The sequence below is a fragment of the Homo sapiens genome, chromosome 1 (genome assembly GCF_000001405.40).
Source record: "Homo sapiens chromosome 1, GRCh38.p14 Primary Assembly".
Lineage (NCBI taxonomy): Eukaryota > Metazoa > Chordata > Mammalia > Primates > Hominidae > Homo > Homo sapiens.
In genome coordinates, this window is record NC_000001.11 from 175,184,539 (window position 1) to 175,201,731 (window position 17,193).

The 17,193-nt window shown below is 44.6% G+C and overlaps 1 protein-coding gene across 9 annotated transcripts in view, besides 5 other annotated features; it reads right to left on the minus strand.

The window, feature by feature from the left end:
• KIAA0040 overlaps positions 1 to 8,449 on the minus strand; it is a 36,002-nt gene extending 27,553 nt beyond the window's left edge. For 4 of the 9 annotated variants that reach the window (NM_001162895.2, NM_014656.3, XM_047435110.1 and 1 more), the window contains exon 1: positions 8,102 to 8,238. The gene's annotated coding sequence lies outside the window, so the exon portion shown is untranslated. Of the gene's footprint in view, positions 1 to 8,101; positions 8,239 to 8,321 lie in introns of those variants that run through there. The other 5 variants (NM_001319230.2, NM_001162894.2, XM_047435111.1 and 2 more) reach the window with 2 other exon arrangements.
• Positions 7,441 to 7,490: an enhancer, noted in NCBI's record as "active region_2129". NCBI's record gives its function as "activates an Ori minimal core promoter by ATAC-STARR-seq in GM12878 lymphoblastoid cells {active_cell/tissue: GM12878}" and the evidence as "EXISTENCE:reporter gene assay evidence [ECO:0000049][PMID:35858748]".
• Positions 7,631 to 7,680: an enhancer, noted in NCBI's record as "active region_2130". NCBI's record gives its function as "activates an Ori minimal core promoter by ATAC-STARR-seq in GM12878 lymphoblastoid cells {active_cell/tissue: GM12878}" and the evidence as "EXISTENCE:reporter gene assay evidence [ECO:0000049][PMID:35858748]".
• Positions 7,921 to 8,070: an enhancer, noted in NCBI's record as "active region_2131". NCBI's record gives its function as "activates an Ori minimal core promoter by ATAC-STARR-seq in GM12878 lymphoblastoid cells {active_cell/tissue: GM12878}" and the evidence as "EXISTENCE:reporter gene assay evidence [ECO:0000049][PMID:35858748]".
• Positions 8,791 to 8,900: an enhancer, noted in NCBI's record as "active region_2132". NCBI's record gives its function as "activates an Ori minimal core promoter by ATAC-STARR-seq in GM12878 lymphoblastoid cells {active_cell/tissue: GM12878}" and the evidence as "EXISTENCE:reporter gene assay evidence [ECO:0000049][PMID:35858748]".
• Positions 16,595 to 16,889: a silencer, noted in NCBI's record as "tiled region #6447; HepG2 Repressive non-DNase unmatched - State 24:Quies". NCBI's record gives its function as "represses a minimal TATA promoter and a strong SV40 promoter by Sharpr-MPRA in HepG2 cells {active_cell/tissue: HepG2}" and the evidence as "EXISTENCE:reporter gene assay evidence [ECO:0000049][PMID:27701403]".

Here is a 17,193-nt window from a genome sequence, read left to right on the forward strand (position 1 = left end):
GTTGAAACATAGGACCCAGGCATAGGAGTTCCATGTCAGTGTGACAGGGCTGGGCATTCCTTCTACAGAAGCACACATGTTTATGAACCTATGTTTAATAAGTGGCAACTGTGTGCCAGACACTGTGCACTGGAAATGCAATGATGGAATAGTGAAGTCAAAGAGTGCCTGGGGAGGGTCAAACATTACCAAGGGCCCCACAGGGTTATCAAGAAAATAAGAGACTTAGATTTCATCTCCTTTGAAAAGTCTACAGCCTAGGGCCAGGATAAGTGCTCTATCTCTGTGTCCCTGTCATGACACCTATCATAGCTTTTATAACACTGTGTTATAACTGCCTCTTGACCTATCTGTCTGCCAAAATGACTGCAATCCCCTGAGAAACAGAATGGCTTCTTATTCATCAGTGGTGGCAGCTGCAGATTTCCTTTGCAGGAGCTGGTGAAGAGCACTTAGCTCTTCGTGGAGACCTCAATTTCTTCTTCTATAAAATAGGGATGTTACAGGTTGAATATCCCTAATCTGAAAATCCAAAACCCAAATGCTCCAAAATCTAAAAGTTTTTGAGTGCTGATAGGACACTGAAATGCACATTGGATTTTAAATTAGGGATGCTGAACTGGTAATTCCAGTATAATAAAAATATTCTAAAATCTGAAAAAAAAAATCTGAAATCCAAAACATGTCTAATCCCAAGTATTTTGGATAAGAAATACTCAACCTGTAGTAGTACCTATTTTGTTCAGTTGACATGAGGGTTAGGTAAGGGAAAATAGGTAAAGTGCTTAATGTTATCCCCAGCACAGATAGAGCACCATAAATGTTGCTGTTGTTAGCTGTTGCTTCCTACTCAGTTATACCAAGAAGGGGCTTTAGTTTACCCCCAAATATTTTCTATCTCAAGCATCCAAATAATCCCGAATCTCTAGGGCAACGAGAGGTAGTATTTAATATCTTTTATAAAAGCATAAGATCAAATGCATCAAATAAGAGACCAGACAGGAAAAGGTATGCCACTTAATATGTGTATTATCTTCAAGAAAGGAAAATGACTTTATAAGTATGTTGATAAAAATGAGGGGAAAGGAAAGCAGTTTGGCAACTCCTCAAAAAAGGTAAAGGTAGAATTACCATATGATCCAGCAATTCCATTCCTAGGTTTATGCCCAAAAGAACTGAAAACAGGTATTCAAACAAATCCTTGTTCACAGCACACTATTCACAATAGCCACAAGGTGGAAACAACACAGATGTCGGTCAACGAATAAACAGATAAACTCTTATGGTATATGCACACAATGGAATATGATTCAGCCATAAAAAGGAATGAAGTACCAATACATGCTACAACATACATCAACCCTGAAAACACATTAAGTGGAAAAGGCCAGTAGCAAAAGGTCACATATTGTATAATTCCATTAATATGAAATATCTAGAATAAGCAACTCCATAGAGGTAGGATGCAGATTGGTGGTTGCTGGGGACCGGGAAGAGGGAACAAGAAGAAGAAATTGCTTAATGGTTATGGGTTTTTATTTTGGGGTGATGAAAATGTTTTGAAACTAGATGGAGGGGTGATTGCACAATATTCTGAATGTACTAAATGCCACTAAGCTATTCACTTTAAAATGGTTAATTTTATGTAACATAAATTTCACCTCAATTAAAAAAATGCAAGAGGAAATAACAAAATTTCTTGAAAACTAATAGATGTCACATGGAAAAGAATGGCAGAGTTTCCCTTATTAATTGTTTGAGAAATATAAAATGTTGTCTGTGATCTCTTTACTGTGTATTTATTCATTAATTCCAATGCCAAGTGTTGAATGACCACATGCCCAGTAGTTTAAGTACTTTTCCCCTTTTACCCTCAGGCCCTACCTTGAAGGAATAATATTTTATAAACCACCAAAATCTTATTCCTGGAAAATGTCAGTCAGGAGCATCCGAACTTCTTCCTCTGTGGCACATGCTCTGTGACTGTGTCTCCTCCCTTGTTCCAGACAGTGTGGAGGACTGCAGTGCCTCTGTCTGGAAATGAGGTGTTCTTTCCATGGCCAGCTTTGGGAAGCTGTGCTATCCACCCACTGAAAATAGTCAAAACCCAGCTCTTTCCTCAAAGAGGTCAATGATGTCCTTATGCAAAACCAAGAAAAGCACAGTCTTTGGAAATCGGCAAGGCACCCAGTAAAGTACTGCTTTCTTCCTGTACTTGTGAAGGCTTTGGTCCAAGTGTCTTGCAGGGCAAGATCTGAGTTTCTAATTTGGAAACTAGGAAAGCTCTGAGCAGGCTGCATCTGGTGGGGTGGTATGCAAGTGTGTTCCCCTTTCCCAGTGGAGTTTCATTATGGAATGATGTGGGTCACCCATGTAATGAGATGGGAAGCTTTTATCTAGGCCACTGTTATGCTGTGCTGGCAACTGCTACTCAGCAGATTGTGGGCCTTGGGCAGGAGGGAAGTTTCAGGTCAGGAGTGGAAGGTAGGGAGAGAGAAAGGAGGGTGGAAGCCATCAGTCATTTACAAGAAAGGGGTTTCATAGATAAGCTAAGTCTGCAGGACTGGCCTTAAGAGTAACTTATTCTCTTTTGTTATTGACACATCTCCCTAACATAATGTTGAAGAAACTACATATGTTTCTGGTAGGGGTGGGCAGGATTGTATGCCTTAAATTCTTAGCACCACCATTCAACAAGCGGTTACTGAGAGCCTAGCATGCACACTGAAAATCTGTGGGAGCCAAGAAAGTTTGGATGGACGTTTGTTTACTGTGGGTTCCAAATCACTCGGAAGGTCACTTTGACCCCAGCATTAGTTTCTGGGTGGTTTCAGGCCAGTGTGCATGAGTGGCTGTCTGGAACTTGCAGGCTACAGCCAGGGCTTTGGTACATGATAATCACATGCAGAGGGGCTTTTGAAAGCTGGCACTTTGGCCCATGGGGCTGCAGAGGAATCACAGGTTAGAAACCATGAGCAGATGGATGCACATTTAATATCTTACTTGAGTTGGGGAGGAACAAGAAGCTCTTGACTCAGAGTGCAGCATTCTTTTCTCTTATTTATGGTGGCCACTGTCACATGTCATTTAAGTTAATACACAGCATATCCACTATACTATTCTGTTCCCATAACACTAAGCTCATGGGTCTTCCCTGTTCCCACGGCCTTTTTCCCTTCCCCTGCCCTTGACCCTCTTTCCCTGCCCCTACACCACCTCTGAACCTGTGGCCCACAGCTCTTTTCCCTGTCAGGACAATGTGAAGACTAAACATACTATCACATGCGACTATCCTTATTGTTATTATTTGTATGTTATTTTCCTCTCTTCTGCCAATTTTCTTTTTATGACTTGCCTGGGAAACTAAAAAAAAAATGCTGATGGGCTTTTCTGAAGACTATCCAGCTTGAAATTAGGGTTGTATTTGAGGAGAATAAAATGTAACTGAAAAACATCCCATCGGGAGAAAGCTATAGTCAAGAGCAAGGGCATGTCTGCAGTGGCTTCTAAATACAATCATCTCTTCAATTTTGACCAAGAACTACAGCAATGGTTAGGTTTTGTTTTATTTCTTAGTGACAAACTCCATGGAGCGGCTTGCTCACAATCGTGGGAGCAAGTCTCTTCCCAGGGGTGGGGATTGGGTTTGGATGCCGCCATGTCCCTTGGGAGTTGCCTCTGAGAAAGAAATTTTGTGTTTGTGTGAGGTTCGTTTTGGAACTTAGCTGCCCTTTCCTGGTCTCCATTAAATGTCCACTCATGTCCCCAGATGATGCTCTGTTCAGATGGCTCAGACTGATGTGGCGGAAAAGCTAGAAACCTGGCCTGGGCTCTGGCCCTGGGGATTGTCTTTCAAAGAATTTGCACTCGATTTTCCTTTTGCTGTCCAGGGAGGGAAAAAGTCTATCATGCTACTGTCTTTATCTCCCTTACTGTGTCTGTGACGAGTCTCCTGAAAGCCCATTATTCACCTGGAACCCTTCTCACTGAATGGTAAGTTACATATCGATATTGGATATGTAATTTCAACTAATCCACTGGTCTCTAGCTCATTCTTATCTCTGAGGTGAAACACTCTTCCTGACAAGTTTGAGGAAACACTAAAAGGATTTTAGTTAATTAAGGCACCCAATGTTGTTTCTCTTCTTGAGGGGTCTTTGGGAACTCCTGAGAAAACTTTAAGGATTGAAACTGAGGAAACAGAAGAGACGAGGGTGGTATGGAGGTTGCCTTAAAAGTTGAGAACTACCTGCATCCCTTGAGGGTCTGCCCCTAGTTTGTCCTGGAGGCCACTTGGGGAGGATTGGAACTTGAGGTACAATTTTCATTTCACCTTTCCACAGGCATTTGAATGCCTAGCTGTGTCCTTGTGTGTGAGATACAAAAGGTGATAGAGACCCTGGATAGTATTGGGTATTCCTGGGCAGAGGCAGATGGAACTTGGATTCTGGTCCCTCCATTAACCAGCTCTGTGACTGGGCCCACACTTCCCCTCCCTGAACTGTAGTTTGCTCATCTGTGAAGTGAAGGGGTGGGGCTGGCTCTTCTCGGAAGTGTTTTTCCATTTGAAGTCTCTGAATCTGTGGTTACTTCCTCTTTTTCATCAACAGCTTAGCCTCTATTAGAACTCTGTTTACTTGAAGGTTTTTGACGTTGGCATAACATTCCAACTTCATGGGGTTGGAATAAGTCAGGATTCCCTGGTTGGGACAGGGAAAAATCACAAATATACCCAAGTCATTGACTAATGCTCAGATTCAGGGCCATTGGATTAAATGGGTTAAACCAGCACCTTGGTGAGAATTAGAAAAAAGCATCCCCTCCATGTGGACTCAGCTGCAAGTGGGGTGGGTCTAAGGCCTAGCAGGTGGAATATTGGTGCTTTCAGCTCCAAAGACTCCCAGGAGTCCTTGTGCAGTACACAACCTGCACAAGCAATAGCAGAGCATTGACTTCTTTGGGCTCTGACCATTTTAGCTAAGGAGGACAAAAGAGGCCAGAGTAGATGCATGTGATTGATATCATGGAAGGAGACTTATCATTACTGCCTTAAAATATGTCATACAATAGGAAAGCTGCAAGTCTGGGCTGAAGATGCTGCCCAGAGCTTACACCTACACAGTCCGTCTAATTTTGGTAGTTTCAAGAGGCAAGATTAGAAATAACAATAAAACCCCTTACATTTTTATAGAGTCTTACAATTTATGTAGCACATTAAATGTACTTTCCTTTTCAATTTGATTCTGATTCTAACCATTGCCCTGGTGAGTAATAATTATCCCCATTTTAAATATAAGGGAAATGAAGCTTTCAAGAACTTGTTCAAGGTCAGCTAATAAGCAGTTAAGCCAGGAACTGAACCCATGTATCTCTAGCTCCAAGCTCAAGGTTTTTTCTTCCATGCAGGTCACACAAGATCCTGAGCCGAGCACTGGCAGCCAGACCTAAATAACTACTCTGTAGGGGTCTGAAATTAGTCAGAGTAGGTCATCCTTCTTGTTTTTATGAAGTCAGGACTCTCCCACACAGGGGTAGGTAACTAAAGACTTGGAGTGTGAGTTCTGGAAAGGTCTTCACAGATCTTACAACTGAACTAAGTATTAATTTTTCACATGGAGGAGTGATAATTAAATGCATCTTTACTATCTATGTGCCATGAACCCAGAATTCTCTTCTTTATTTTAGGAATTATCCTCCAAGGTATCCTGAGAAAGCCTTGAGCGTTCGGAGAAAGTCATCTGGAAGTCAACATATGATATGAAAATATCTATAGGCCACTATTGACAAATACAAGACTCTTCAGCACCAATGTGGTGCTACCACAGGCCTCTTTAGCTGCCTTCCACCTCCACCTATGTTCCAGACCTGTATACCCAACTGCTTATCTCCATCTGGACATTTCCTGGGCATATTCAACTTTAATATGCCTAAAGTGTTCATCACTGCCTTCTCCACAATCTGCTTCCCAAGCCCACTCCTTCTCTAGCTTACATGATTTTTATTAATGGCTCTACAAGGTACCTTCCCCTGCCTATCCCACTCAACACCTTATAATCACTCTCTATTCACTCATTCCTCCTTTACCACATTCACTTGGTCACCAAGTACTTCTGATTCTACTTCCTAAAATCCATTCCTTTTCCTCAGTTCCCACTGCCATTGTCTTAGCTGAGGTCTTAATTATCTCTGCTTCCCATCTCTCTAAGCCAGCCCCCATCTGGCCAATAATTCTTTTTCCAAACACAAATCTGACCGGATCCTTCCTCTGCTTAAAAACTCAAAAATGGCTTCCTATAGGAGGGAGTTCACCCTTCTCAGTCTAGCAGTGTAATTCCTATTACACGCTATTCCCTACCTGCCATTGACTTTGCATACCCTCTTTCCTTTGTTCAAAACACACTTTCCCTAGGAACTCCTAGTCATTTCCAAGACCCTGCTCATCCATCACTTCTGTGGTGTGGACTTCACAGATAATTCTGGGGAAGGATCTCCTGCCCTCTCCCCTGGATTAGTCAGTGCCCTGTAGCTACTGCTATTACAATGTATATTATCCTGAACTGCAGTTTATTTCTGTATCTGTCTCACTTACCAGACTGAAGCTCCTCAAAAACAGAAACCATCTCATTATCTTTGGACTCCAAGGCCCTGGTATACTGGCCTGCACACGGTAGGTTTGGCAAATGTTGAATGAATGTATGGAATGGATGCATCTCCCTCTTTGGTGAAATCAATAACTTAGTTTGTTGAGTGTTTATTATTCTCTTGGGTTTAGTCTTTAGGGAAGAGGACAGAAGTCATACTCATTTCACAGGCCAAATATTGACAATGCATGGAGGCCAAAGAAACTTTTGTTTTACAACGCATCTCTTTCCTAAAATTGTATCTGGGATGGGGACAGAGAGGCAGAATTTCAGACAAAAGGAAAGACTTGGTCAGATTTTCCTGTACAGCTGCCTCTCCAGCCCAGCACTGGGTGAAGGGCAGGCACATCAGACTAAGTGGTTGATGCAACTGAACCAGTTTAAAGGCTGGTAAGACGCTTGCAGAAGTCTTTAGATAGAACTTGCAAACCATTTGCAAAAGGGTTAGGAACAGGTTGCATCAATGCTATGTTTAAGTCCTGCTCTTTGTAACTCAAGGCTCTCCCATTATCTAACAGAACTTCAGAATGAGGGTTCCTTAAAATTAGCTTCAGGTCCTTATGAGCTGTAGCTGAGCAAATGAAATGCAACTGCTTTAGAAGGGAGGAGCTTCCAAGATGCTCCAGTGGTCTTTTCCTTCCCTTCCTCGTATAACGCAATCGGTGGCACAATCCCGCTAAGTAGCATGGCATGCTGGCTGCCGGTGTTCTGTTAAATTAGGGTGAGTGCTTGTCTGTGCTTCAGTTTCCCTTTCGGTTAGGCAGGACTGGTCTTCCCACTAGCTATCATCTATAGTTTACTTAACTCTATTATCATATGATGAATCCCGTAAAGCTCTTCAGAATGTTAGGGAAACAGGTCCTATTATGTCCCCCACTCTACCTTCATGGGTGGGATGGGGGGTCTGGGGGTGGGACCACTGAGAGTCAAAGAAGTTAGGAAGTAATCTGTGTCACAGCAAGCTCCCTGGAAACTCTCAGAATAGCAAACAGGTTTCCTCTCCGCCCCTGGCTCCACGCCATATTTTCGTTTTGGCTAGTTCCTTAGCTCCAGAGAAAATCTGGCTTCACCTAGAATGGTTTAGAAACACCTAAGCCCGCGATGCTTTCCGGAGGGTCTCAGGCCTTAGCTTTCTCAGTAAAAAACAGAATTTCCATGTGTCCCCTTCAAAGCGCTCCTACCGGCAGCTGGAGTAAGGTAACTCCACCGCCGACCTCCGAGGAGTTCATGTGGACTCAGCCCAGGCGCAGAGAGGAAGACTCCTGAGAGTCCTCGCGAAGGAGGGAAACACACCAGAACTAAAGTTGTGAAGGCGCAAGAGGCTACTTAGGAATAATTCCTTGTATCTCTGGGGCAGGTCTCATCCTTCTAAAGACAGGAGTGACTGGGCGTCTTCTTCCAAACAGAGGGCGCTTAAAAATGTATTTTTAAAAAACATAACAGAAAGTCCTGAAACTCACCTTTCGGTCCGCGGAAGGGCTTCCTGCAGGCCCAGGGAATCTCCTGGTTGCTGCCCCGTCTGACAGCGCCCCGGGCCCTGGAGGGAGGTGTGGGTTCCTTTTTGGTTGCCTCTGCACTCCCACCCCGAGCCAGGTCTGGCGTGTAGGGCCCCGGCGCCGGCCAAGGTCGTGGGAGCCGCCCGCCCCGCCCCGCCCCGCCCCGCTCCACCCCCGCGCGTACCTGCCGCTGCCGCCGAGGGCAGCGCCCTCTGTGTTCCCTGCCTTCCTACGGGCCGACGCCTGGCATAGTTGAGGTTTCGCTCCAACTCTGTCCTGCCCCTGATGTCACAGGCACAACTTCCTGAATCTGGCTCGCCGTTCCGCCCGCTCCAGGGGCTCGGCCCAGGCTTTCCACCCTGGGCCAGCCCACCTCGGGTGCCTCTGGCCTTGGGCGCACACGCCCCAGACGCGCCCTCCCTCCCCGTCTTCCCGCCGGTGGCTCCCCACTCCCCGCCCCCCGCCATTACGTGTCCTTGCCCCCTCAGTCCCGGAACACGCCTCCTTCAGGACACAGCGGCTGCGGAGCCAGCCCCGGTGTCTCTCACAGACGCACCAGTGTTCCAGGAATGGGACACAGAACTCCGGGCAAACCCGGCTTCAGGGAAAACAGCTGCCTAAATAGAGGGCCTTCCTGGAAGGGGTGGGAGGCGTTGGAGAGGGATACCATGCGGCAGGTTGGGTGAAGGCTCCGATGTCTTATCGGGACAAATGAGCATGACAGTCCCCTCTAGCCAACGCCGGTTGCTCCAAGGGGTGCAGGTGACATCTCAGAAGAGTCTTTGTCTCTGCTGCCTGGAGGCGCTAAGGAAAACTGCGCCCCAGGAGCTGTCTGTCACAAGCAAATGACGGAGGGGAAAGCTGACTTCAAAAAGTTCTCAGGGGTTCTTCCCTCTCATCCTCAGCTGCTCTCCATCTACTTTCTATTCAGATCTCTTGGCTCTAGTTCCGAGCACATGGGATGCTAGGAAATGAAAAGACCTGCGCCCCTTTGAATAGGGGACTCCAGACACAAAGCTCTGATGATTCAGAGCTTGTTCAGTGCCTCCAGGGATACTGTGGGTGGGAAAAGAGGGGGATGCCAGGACCTGGCTGTGGATCATTTCAGGGGCCTCCTCAGTGTCATCCTGGGAGGTCCTCCCTGACAAGGGCCTGAAATGCTGTTCCCTCGACTGTATTTGCCAGGTACACAGGTACCAGGTGCCAGGTGCTGAACCAGGACTTGCCCTCCATCGACTGTGCCTGAGTATGGGTGTCCTTTGGCTTCTCCAAGTGGGCATTAAAATGACTGCTGCAACCAACTGTCACAACTGAGATTCAAGAGATTCCTTTCTGTTTATTCAGGAGAAACCACGTGGCTCTGAGTTGAAAGGCCAAAGAGAAAACCCACCATCCAGCCTGAAACGCCAAAAATGGCTAGAAAAAGAGGAAAATAAGTTATTTATTTATTTATTTATTTATTTTTTACAGAGGAAGACTAGATTCACAAGCCGGGAGAAGCTCAAATCTGTAATGACACTTTGAGCCTGCAGTTGTCTACCTATGTACAATGTACCTATGTACCTATGTAGGTTCCTCTAAAACTCCTGGAGCCTAAGGCCAGAGTATAGAGTCTAACAGGGCCATGAGGAAGACAGGCCTGGGATGGATGATAGTAAGGCCTTGAATGCTGGCCTGAAAATTTGGGAATGGGGATCTCCTGCCTGGAGGTTTACACACAGTGTATCATTCAACCTTTCACAACACATTTATGAGAGGTAGTATTATCCTCATTGTACAGGTGAGGAAATTGTGGTTGAGAGGAAGCTAAGGAAGTTCCTCAAGGTCACATAGCTAATAAATGGTAGAGCCAGGTTTGAATCCAAGTGTTTCCAACCGCCGCTCCCCCTGACCCAGTGCATCCTTTTACCACCATATCATCTAGTAGAGGAGGAACTTGCCTTCTGTGAAGGAATTCCACACTTGAGCAGGGATCATGTACAGGTCTTGAATGACGCCTATTGCGGGGAGGCCATAGAAAATACTTTCCTGAAAGTCTGGAGCAACATTACAGATTGGTTCTGGCCAGGGTGATGGGTATGTAGGGTTGCTTTTAAGAGAAAAGAGGAAGAAACTAAATGAGAAAAACAGGGGCAATCGAATTGAGCTCAGGGCTTCATGGACATGGTTGTCTGATCGTAGAAAGGAAACCAGGGCCATCCATAAGATGGTATCTCTAGCTATCTCAATTCATAAGGAGAAAAGTCTAATGCTGAAAACCAGAAAATTCTGTGGCAGAGAAATCAGGGACTTATAGGTGGGCTGGATGGTGGATTTACTCACACTAGACTGCCAAGGCTGCAAAGTCTGTTGCTGTATTGACACTACTAGAAGATGCAATTATGCAGAAGAAAAGAAGTGGGCATCTGGCAAGGATGTTTTCACCCTGGATGAATGATGTGTTCCTTATGAAAAAGCAGGTTGGAACACCCACCTACTATTTTATTCCTTGGCAGTAAAATCCTAACTCCTATGAACTCATGAACAGCCCCAGGCAGCAACAGGGCTACTACGTTTTGCTTAATCCTTATTATTTTTCTTGTTTTCAGTAAGGATATTTGAAGTTGGTCAAGAGCTTAGTGGGCACTAAATGGAGTAGAACAAAATATTAACTTTTTTTTTTTTTAAAAAAAGAAGCCAAAATAAAGCAGATTTGTGCACTGAGACTGGAAATTGGAACCCCTTTTTGACCACTCCTCACTAGCTTTAGCACCTGCTGATCTCTGGTTTCACATCAGTATGTTGCAGAAAACAGGGGTTGCCTCCCTCTCAGATACTGTAAAAATCAGTGGAGTGCTAAGTATTGAACTTAGTCTGCTTTGAAGCTAAGACTGACTACACTTGGATTTCTTTCTTGGCAATGCCCTATTTCAGACAGGTTAACTTGCAGTATTGGCCAGTACTGATCCACCCGTGCTGCCTGGAGACAGTTTCCCATGAGTTTGCAAACCCAGAGTCTAGAAGCTGTGTCTTTTATAATGTGGTTGCATCCAGGACAGTGCTGCACAAAATTGGACACATTTTTCAGGTGTGGGAAATTTTAAATTGAGAACATCATTTTACTCTTACCAATAACTGTGGTGTATTCTTGCCTGCAACACTGTGAGAGGGTCTAGAAGGTTAAAACGGGGATAGGGAAAGTCCCCAAATAGCAACATGGATGTTCTGAGGAACTGAGTAGAAGTCACAGGGCTGCTGACAAGGAGAAGGCTGTTAGGAGGAAATGATCAGACTATAAATGGTGTGGATATGATGAGCACAGACTTGTTCATCAGATCCTGAAATATAGCAGTGCTTTGGAACCACGAGTGGGGCAAGTTCAGGACAAGTCAGCGGAAATACTACTTCATGCAGCAGGTAATAAATTTATGGAATGAATTATCTCCCAGAGGTGGTACAAACTGGCAACATAAATGGATTCCAGAAGAGTGAATGGCAGAGGCATAAAGAGAGCTGCAGGAAGCAGAGATATACTCCATGTGGTGGGGAGTTCAGGGTGGCCCAATGAGGCCTTACACAGTGTGTACCTGGGGGTCTTTGTGGTCAAAGAGTCCTGGCCTCCATAGGGCTTGGATTGGAGCTGACTGGCAGCACCAACACTACCTCCCTAATTCTTCAGCCTCTGTGGCCTTTGCTTTATGAAGGCAGCAAAACCATGTTCTTTTTACCTGAGACTTACAGCCCATTTAAAATGCATTGCTTCTTTATTTTGACTTTCGACTTCTGAACAGATTTGAGTGTCTGCTTCCATACTGGTTACCATATTTAGCTCTTGCAATTAGATTTCTGTTCAGGTCTTCCTCCTAAATTATCTAATTCTGACATAAGTTACTCTAATTATGAAAGCTTTTTAAAAAAACAAAAAACAAAAAACAGGAGTTAACAATATACTTTCCTTGGGAGCTTTTTTTTTAATGCGGCATCCAAAATGTCTTCATTGCTACATCCAGGATGCCTGGCAAAATGTTGCTTTTACAGCTATAGCTCCAAATCTTGGCCCTGGAGGAGGTTTAGGAAGCTCTTGGATGTCTCCTCTAATAATCTACCTGTCTCCCACCACACACATGCCCCTCTGCTCCATGCACTTTGTGCCTTTTTTTTTTTTTTAGATGGAGTCTTGCTCTGTCGCCCAGGCTGGAGTGCAGTGGTGCGATCTCGGCTCACTGCAAGCTCCGCCTCCCGGGTTCATGCCATTCTCATGCCTCAGCCTCCTGAACAGCTGGGACTACAGGTGCCCGCCACCACACCTAGCTAACTTTTTTGTATATTTAATAGAGACTGGATTTCAGCGTACTAGCCAGGATGGTCTCGATCTCCTGACCTCGTGATCCGCCCGCCTCGGCCTCCCAAAGTGCTGGGATTACAGGCTTGAGCCACCGCGCCCAGCCCACTTTGTGCTTTCTTGAGTACTCCTGTAAGTTCTAGAGATAGTACATCATGCCCCACCTCTTCCAGTATGGAGGTCAAGGTGGGCTGGTGGCTTAGAAAGCCCTTTGTTTATACTTCTGGGGCACAAAAGGGCTCAGTTTCCATTTTCTGTTTCTGGCTCACAGCCCCCCACCCTGAGTTGTGTCTTGAAAGCTATTTTTACAGCACTATCACTGGCAGTCATAAACTGGCCAGGGCTATTCTTCAGACCCTTTGCTGGGATTCAGCATTGGCTTTGTTCAGATGTAAAAAACAGGCCTCTGAATTCCATTTTGTGGCAGGGGTCTCGGTGTGGGGAGAGAGCCCCACAGAGTTCTCATTTTGCCTCTCTTTGTGGTTTCCCTTGTCATCTGTTCTTCCCTTGGGGATGGGTTTACATATCAATTTATTGAGCGAGCCCATCGTGTGGGTTTCATGAAGTAGCATTTACATGGTCTGGGTAGAACACTTCTTGTCACTTTGTCAGAGAGATTCCTGGGAAACCCCAGCTTGCCCTGCCCAGTGCATTCATTCTGGCAGATGTTTCTGTCAAGGCTGAAATTGTTCATTCCTCTTGCCCTGAGGGCCCACAAAGTAATATGGCTTTGAAATTTACTTCCTTAACTAGTTCAGTGACTCAGAACATCAATGTTGCCACAAACAAACTTCCTCTCCCAAGGCTGGCTCATTCATAACAGGTAAAAGGAAGGGCTGACAAAAACATCACAGAACAATGGGATAGCCTTCATTTATCAAGTTGCAAAAGTACACTCACTCACTGTGTTTTAATTACTATTGACTTTCTCTGTGCCAGGCACTGTGCTAAACTGCTTATACATATTGCCTTTAAATTTCTAACAACACTGTGAGGTACTGTTATAATACCAATCTAATAGGTGTGGAAACTAAGATTTGGAAAATTTAAAAATTTGTTAAAGATCAGTAAGTGGCAGACAGAGATTTCAATAAATAGTAGTGAGAAATACTTTTATTCAGCACAGATATGTTCCCAGCGTCATGCAAAATATTAGATTTGCAAAAATGAATGAGACTCTGGTCTAGTGAAACTAAAGTTTCAACCCAGAATTTTCTGAATTCAGAGCCCGATTGCTACTCACCTTAATCAGCTGGACAGGTGTGGGATATCCGTGGGGCAGAATTAAATTACTGATTCTGGGATGATAACAATAATAATGACATATTATTATGATGACAATAATAAAACCTGGAGCTTTGTAAGTTTTCAGTGATGTTTCATGTAGATTATTTACTTTGATCCAACCTTTGTTAAGGGAGCAAGCTCAATGAGGAGCTGGGGACTGAAGAGGCTGCTGCCCATGGTAGTTGCATGACTGGACTAAAACCAGGGGGTCTGGCTTGTAGTCCAAAAATCTCTACTTGCAGAATGCAAGAATGTATCTGGAGAGACACATTCCAGGAATATCTCTTGGTAGCATACTGAAGTGGTCATCAGGAAGTAACTGGAATCAAAGCCCAGACTGATGAACTCATGCAGAATATGGATATCAGCCTTGGAGGGAATTCTTGCACTTGGGAAAGCTATAAAATGGCTATAAAAGTGCTTCAAATTTCTGCACTGAAGTATCTCTAAAAGATAGGAAATTGTTGCTTTAGGAAGACATTATTTAATATCTTGTGGCTTCACATACACTTGACACACATTTTCATACACCTTTGCGGATGTATGCACCACAGTTTGAGAAGCATAGTATCAGATGACCTATGAAACTGCATTAGAACTGTGCCCTAACCAACTGAACTAATAAATACAGCAATAGAATTTCTTCCATCCATCCATCCATCCATCCATCCATCCATCCATCCATCCATCCACTGAAAAATTTTTATGAAGAACCTGCCATAACCTCGGCACTGTGCTGGGTAGGCACTATGATATGATATGATAGCATATAGAAGCTCCCGAGGAATTTACACTCTAATGCGGAACTGACCATTGAAATGATTAGCAGTAGTAGAAACTACTTATAATGAAGTGCTAAATTTTGTAATTTGGATTTGAGGGCAGTGAGGGCTGGAGCACTCATGGAAACCTTCCTGATGGAGGTGGGTTGACCAGAATGTGGGAGGTGCAGAAGCATTTGAAGATAGGGAAAGACAGAATGGTTTCTAGTTGTCCACAGTCTGAACAAAGGTGTGGAGAAGGGATAAACATGGTAGGACTTTTTTGGTAAGTAATGTTAATTATTTGATGATTCTTTCTCTCTCTCTCTCTATCTCTCTCCCCTCCACCCACCTCTTTCTTGTCAATGCAGAAAACTAGGGAAAGACTCAAAACAATGGAGAAAAACAAAATATCCATAATTCTGGTAACCAAAATGTAACATTTTGGTATGGGCTATTTTTGTCTTTTAGAAATAGAGTTTGTATGTAGGTAATTGTGGCCACTGCAGATTTTGAACAGTGGGCTGACCAATCTGAAAGACAGTTAATCTGGTGGACTTTTGCAGGATTTATTAGAGTGGGGAGAGACTGGGAGACTGAAGTCAGAAACTCCAACCTAGTAAAAGGCCACCATATACTCTAGCTCCTGCCTTTAAAACTAACTAGCTAACTCACTAGTTGCCTTGATCAATGATGAGTTTCTCCATCACTGAAGCAATTCACACAGAGACTGGATGACCACCTGGAGGGGTGCTGTGGAGGGGACTGCCATACCTGGAGAGAGGATTTAGTAGTCCATATGACCTCTTTCAATCCCAAGATTCCAGGGCTTACATTGTTAGCTGTGGAAATTTCACATTCAAATAAATTATGAGTTCTCTCCTATTTCTTATGTTTTGACAGCAATTGCTTTGCTTAGTGCATATTATTGGGTAACATAGTAAATGTTATTGGGCACAAGAAATCAACTAACTTTGAGGGGCTTGGGTTAAGCTCATATGGATTTTAGCACTGCTGTGTTATTATTTGGGAGCTGCCTTTACATGGGAAACATTTAAGGAGAAACTCTTACCTCTACCCAATCTCTACCTGCCTGGGTCCCAGCTCAGTCACCACCTCCTTGACTCCCCAAGACGGAGGTAGAAGCCTCTCCTTTGTATTCTCACAGGACTCCATGCTGACCCAGCATGAAGCCTGCCCCGCAGTAATGAAATTACCTGTTTCTCTGTCTCCCACACTGCACTGTGAGCTCTTGTGAGCAGGAAGTGTCTGGCAAATGGTAAGTTGTTGGTCAACATTTGTTAGTGAATGAAGACCCTCGGCCACAAGGCCAGATCTGGGAGCTTTAGAAGCTTTCTCTGAGCAGGGATGAGCATGATGCTCTTCCTTGTGCACTTACCTCCTTGTGAGTGCCCAAAGCATTGGGTTCTTTCCTTCCTCAGTATGGCTCTGGGGTCTGCAGTTCTGTGTCCTCATGAAAGACAGAAAGTATAACTGGAATTATGCATGAAAAAAAATCATGAGAGGGGAAAGTACATAATAAAAGGTGACATGGGCTCAGAGTATGGCAAGGGCAAGGCTAAGAGGCCCTTCTGAAACCAGATCAGGTGCACACTTTTCCTAAAGCCACTGTGCCAGTTCTAGGAAAGAACCTCTCTGCTACTCCTTTGCCTTGGAACTCCCTTCTCGAAACATCCAATCCTGTTCCAGACCAACAGAAAGAACACACTGCAGCTGCTATTATTCCCCACTTCCAGCATTACAGTGTTCTTTCTCGGGCTCCTGATGTTGCCAGCTGTTGACAAGGGCTGGGCAGGGAAAAATTGCTGCAGGCTCATCAGGAATTCTGGACACAGAATGTAAGTCTGAAAGATGCTGGATCTGAGTTCCTGTGAGAATCACACAGGTTCCAACTACAGCCTAAGTGAAGAGGGGAAAAAATCTACAAGCTTATTTTCCACCACTCCAACAGAGTCATTAGGCAACACAGTTTTCAGTGGTTCTAAAAACCATGTGGGCAAAAGGTTATTTATTCCTATATATGGCCAGAAAATAGCCCAATCACGGGGCTGCCTTCCTGGTTGACGCTGTCCAGTTTTTCCAGACCTGCAGACTCCAGAGACTTCCAGGCTGGACATTGGTTTCTGTGGCCTGCATGTAATTAGTTTGGCAATGGAAAATGTGGCTCCCAGCGTGACTGCCCCTACTTTTCCTCATCCCCCAACCCCTCAACCCTTGCCTCCCTTAGAATGCTGCAGCTAAAGAGCAAAGAATGAAGCTCTCCCAGCTGCACGCTCTGCTAAAAATAGAAAGTTTATTTATTTTATGTTCATGAAGCCCTTTTCCTGCTGTTGCTGTTGTTATGAGTGTAACTCCCAGGCAGGAAGGGGATTGACTGCACTGGTCTCCGGCCAAGTGAGTTCTATCCTATGTTGAGGGATCTAATAGAGCCATTAGGGGTCAGGGGATTTGGTGATCTGTTTCTTTTTTGAACCTGTCCTTTCCTAGCTGATACCTGCTGTCCAGAAAGCCGGGTGTGTGTTTCTTGGTTTTTAGAGGATCTGCTTGGATATACTTCCCTTTCAGATGCGACCTTCCCTTTACTTATGATGTATTCACAGGGGAGGCATAGCCAGAGGAAGCAGCACTGAGCTAACAGGCAAGAAGCCTCAGTTTTTCGTCCAGTT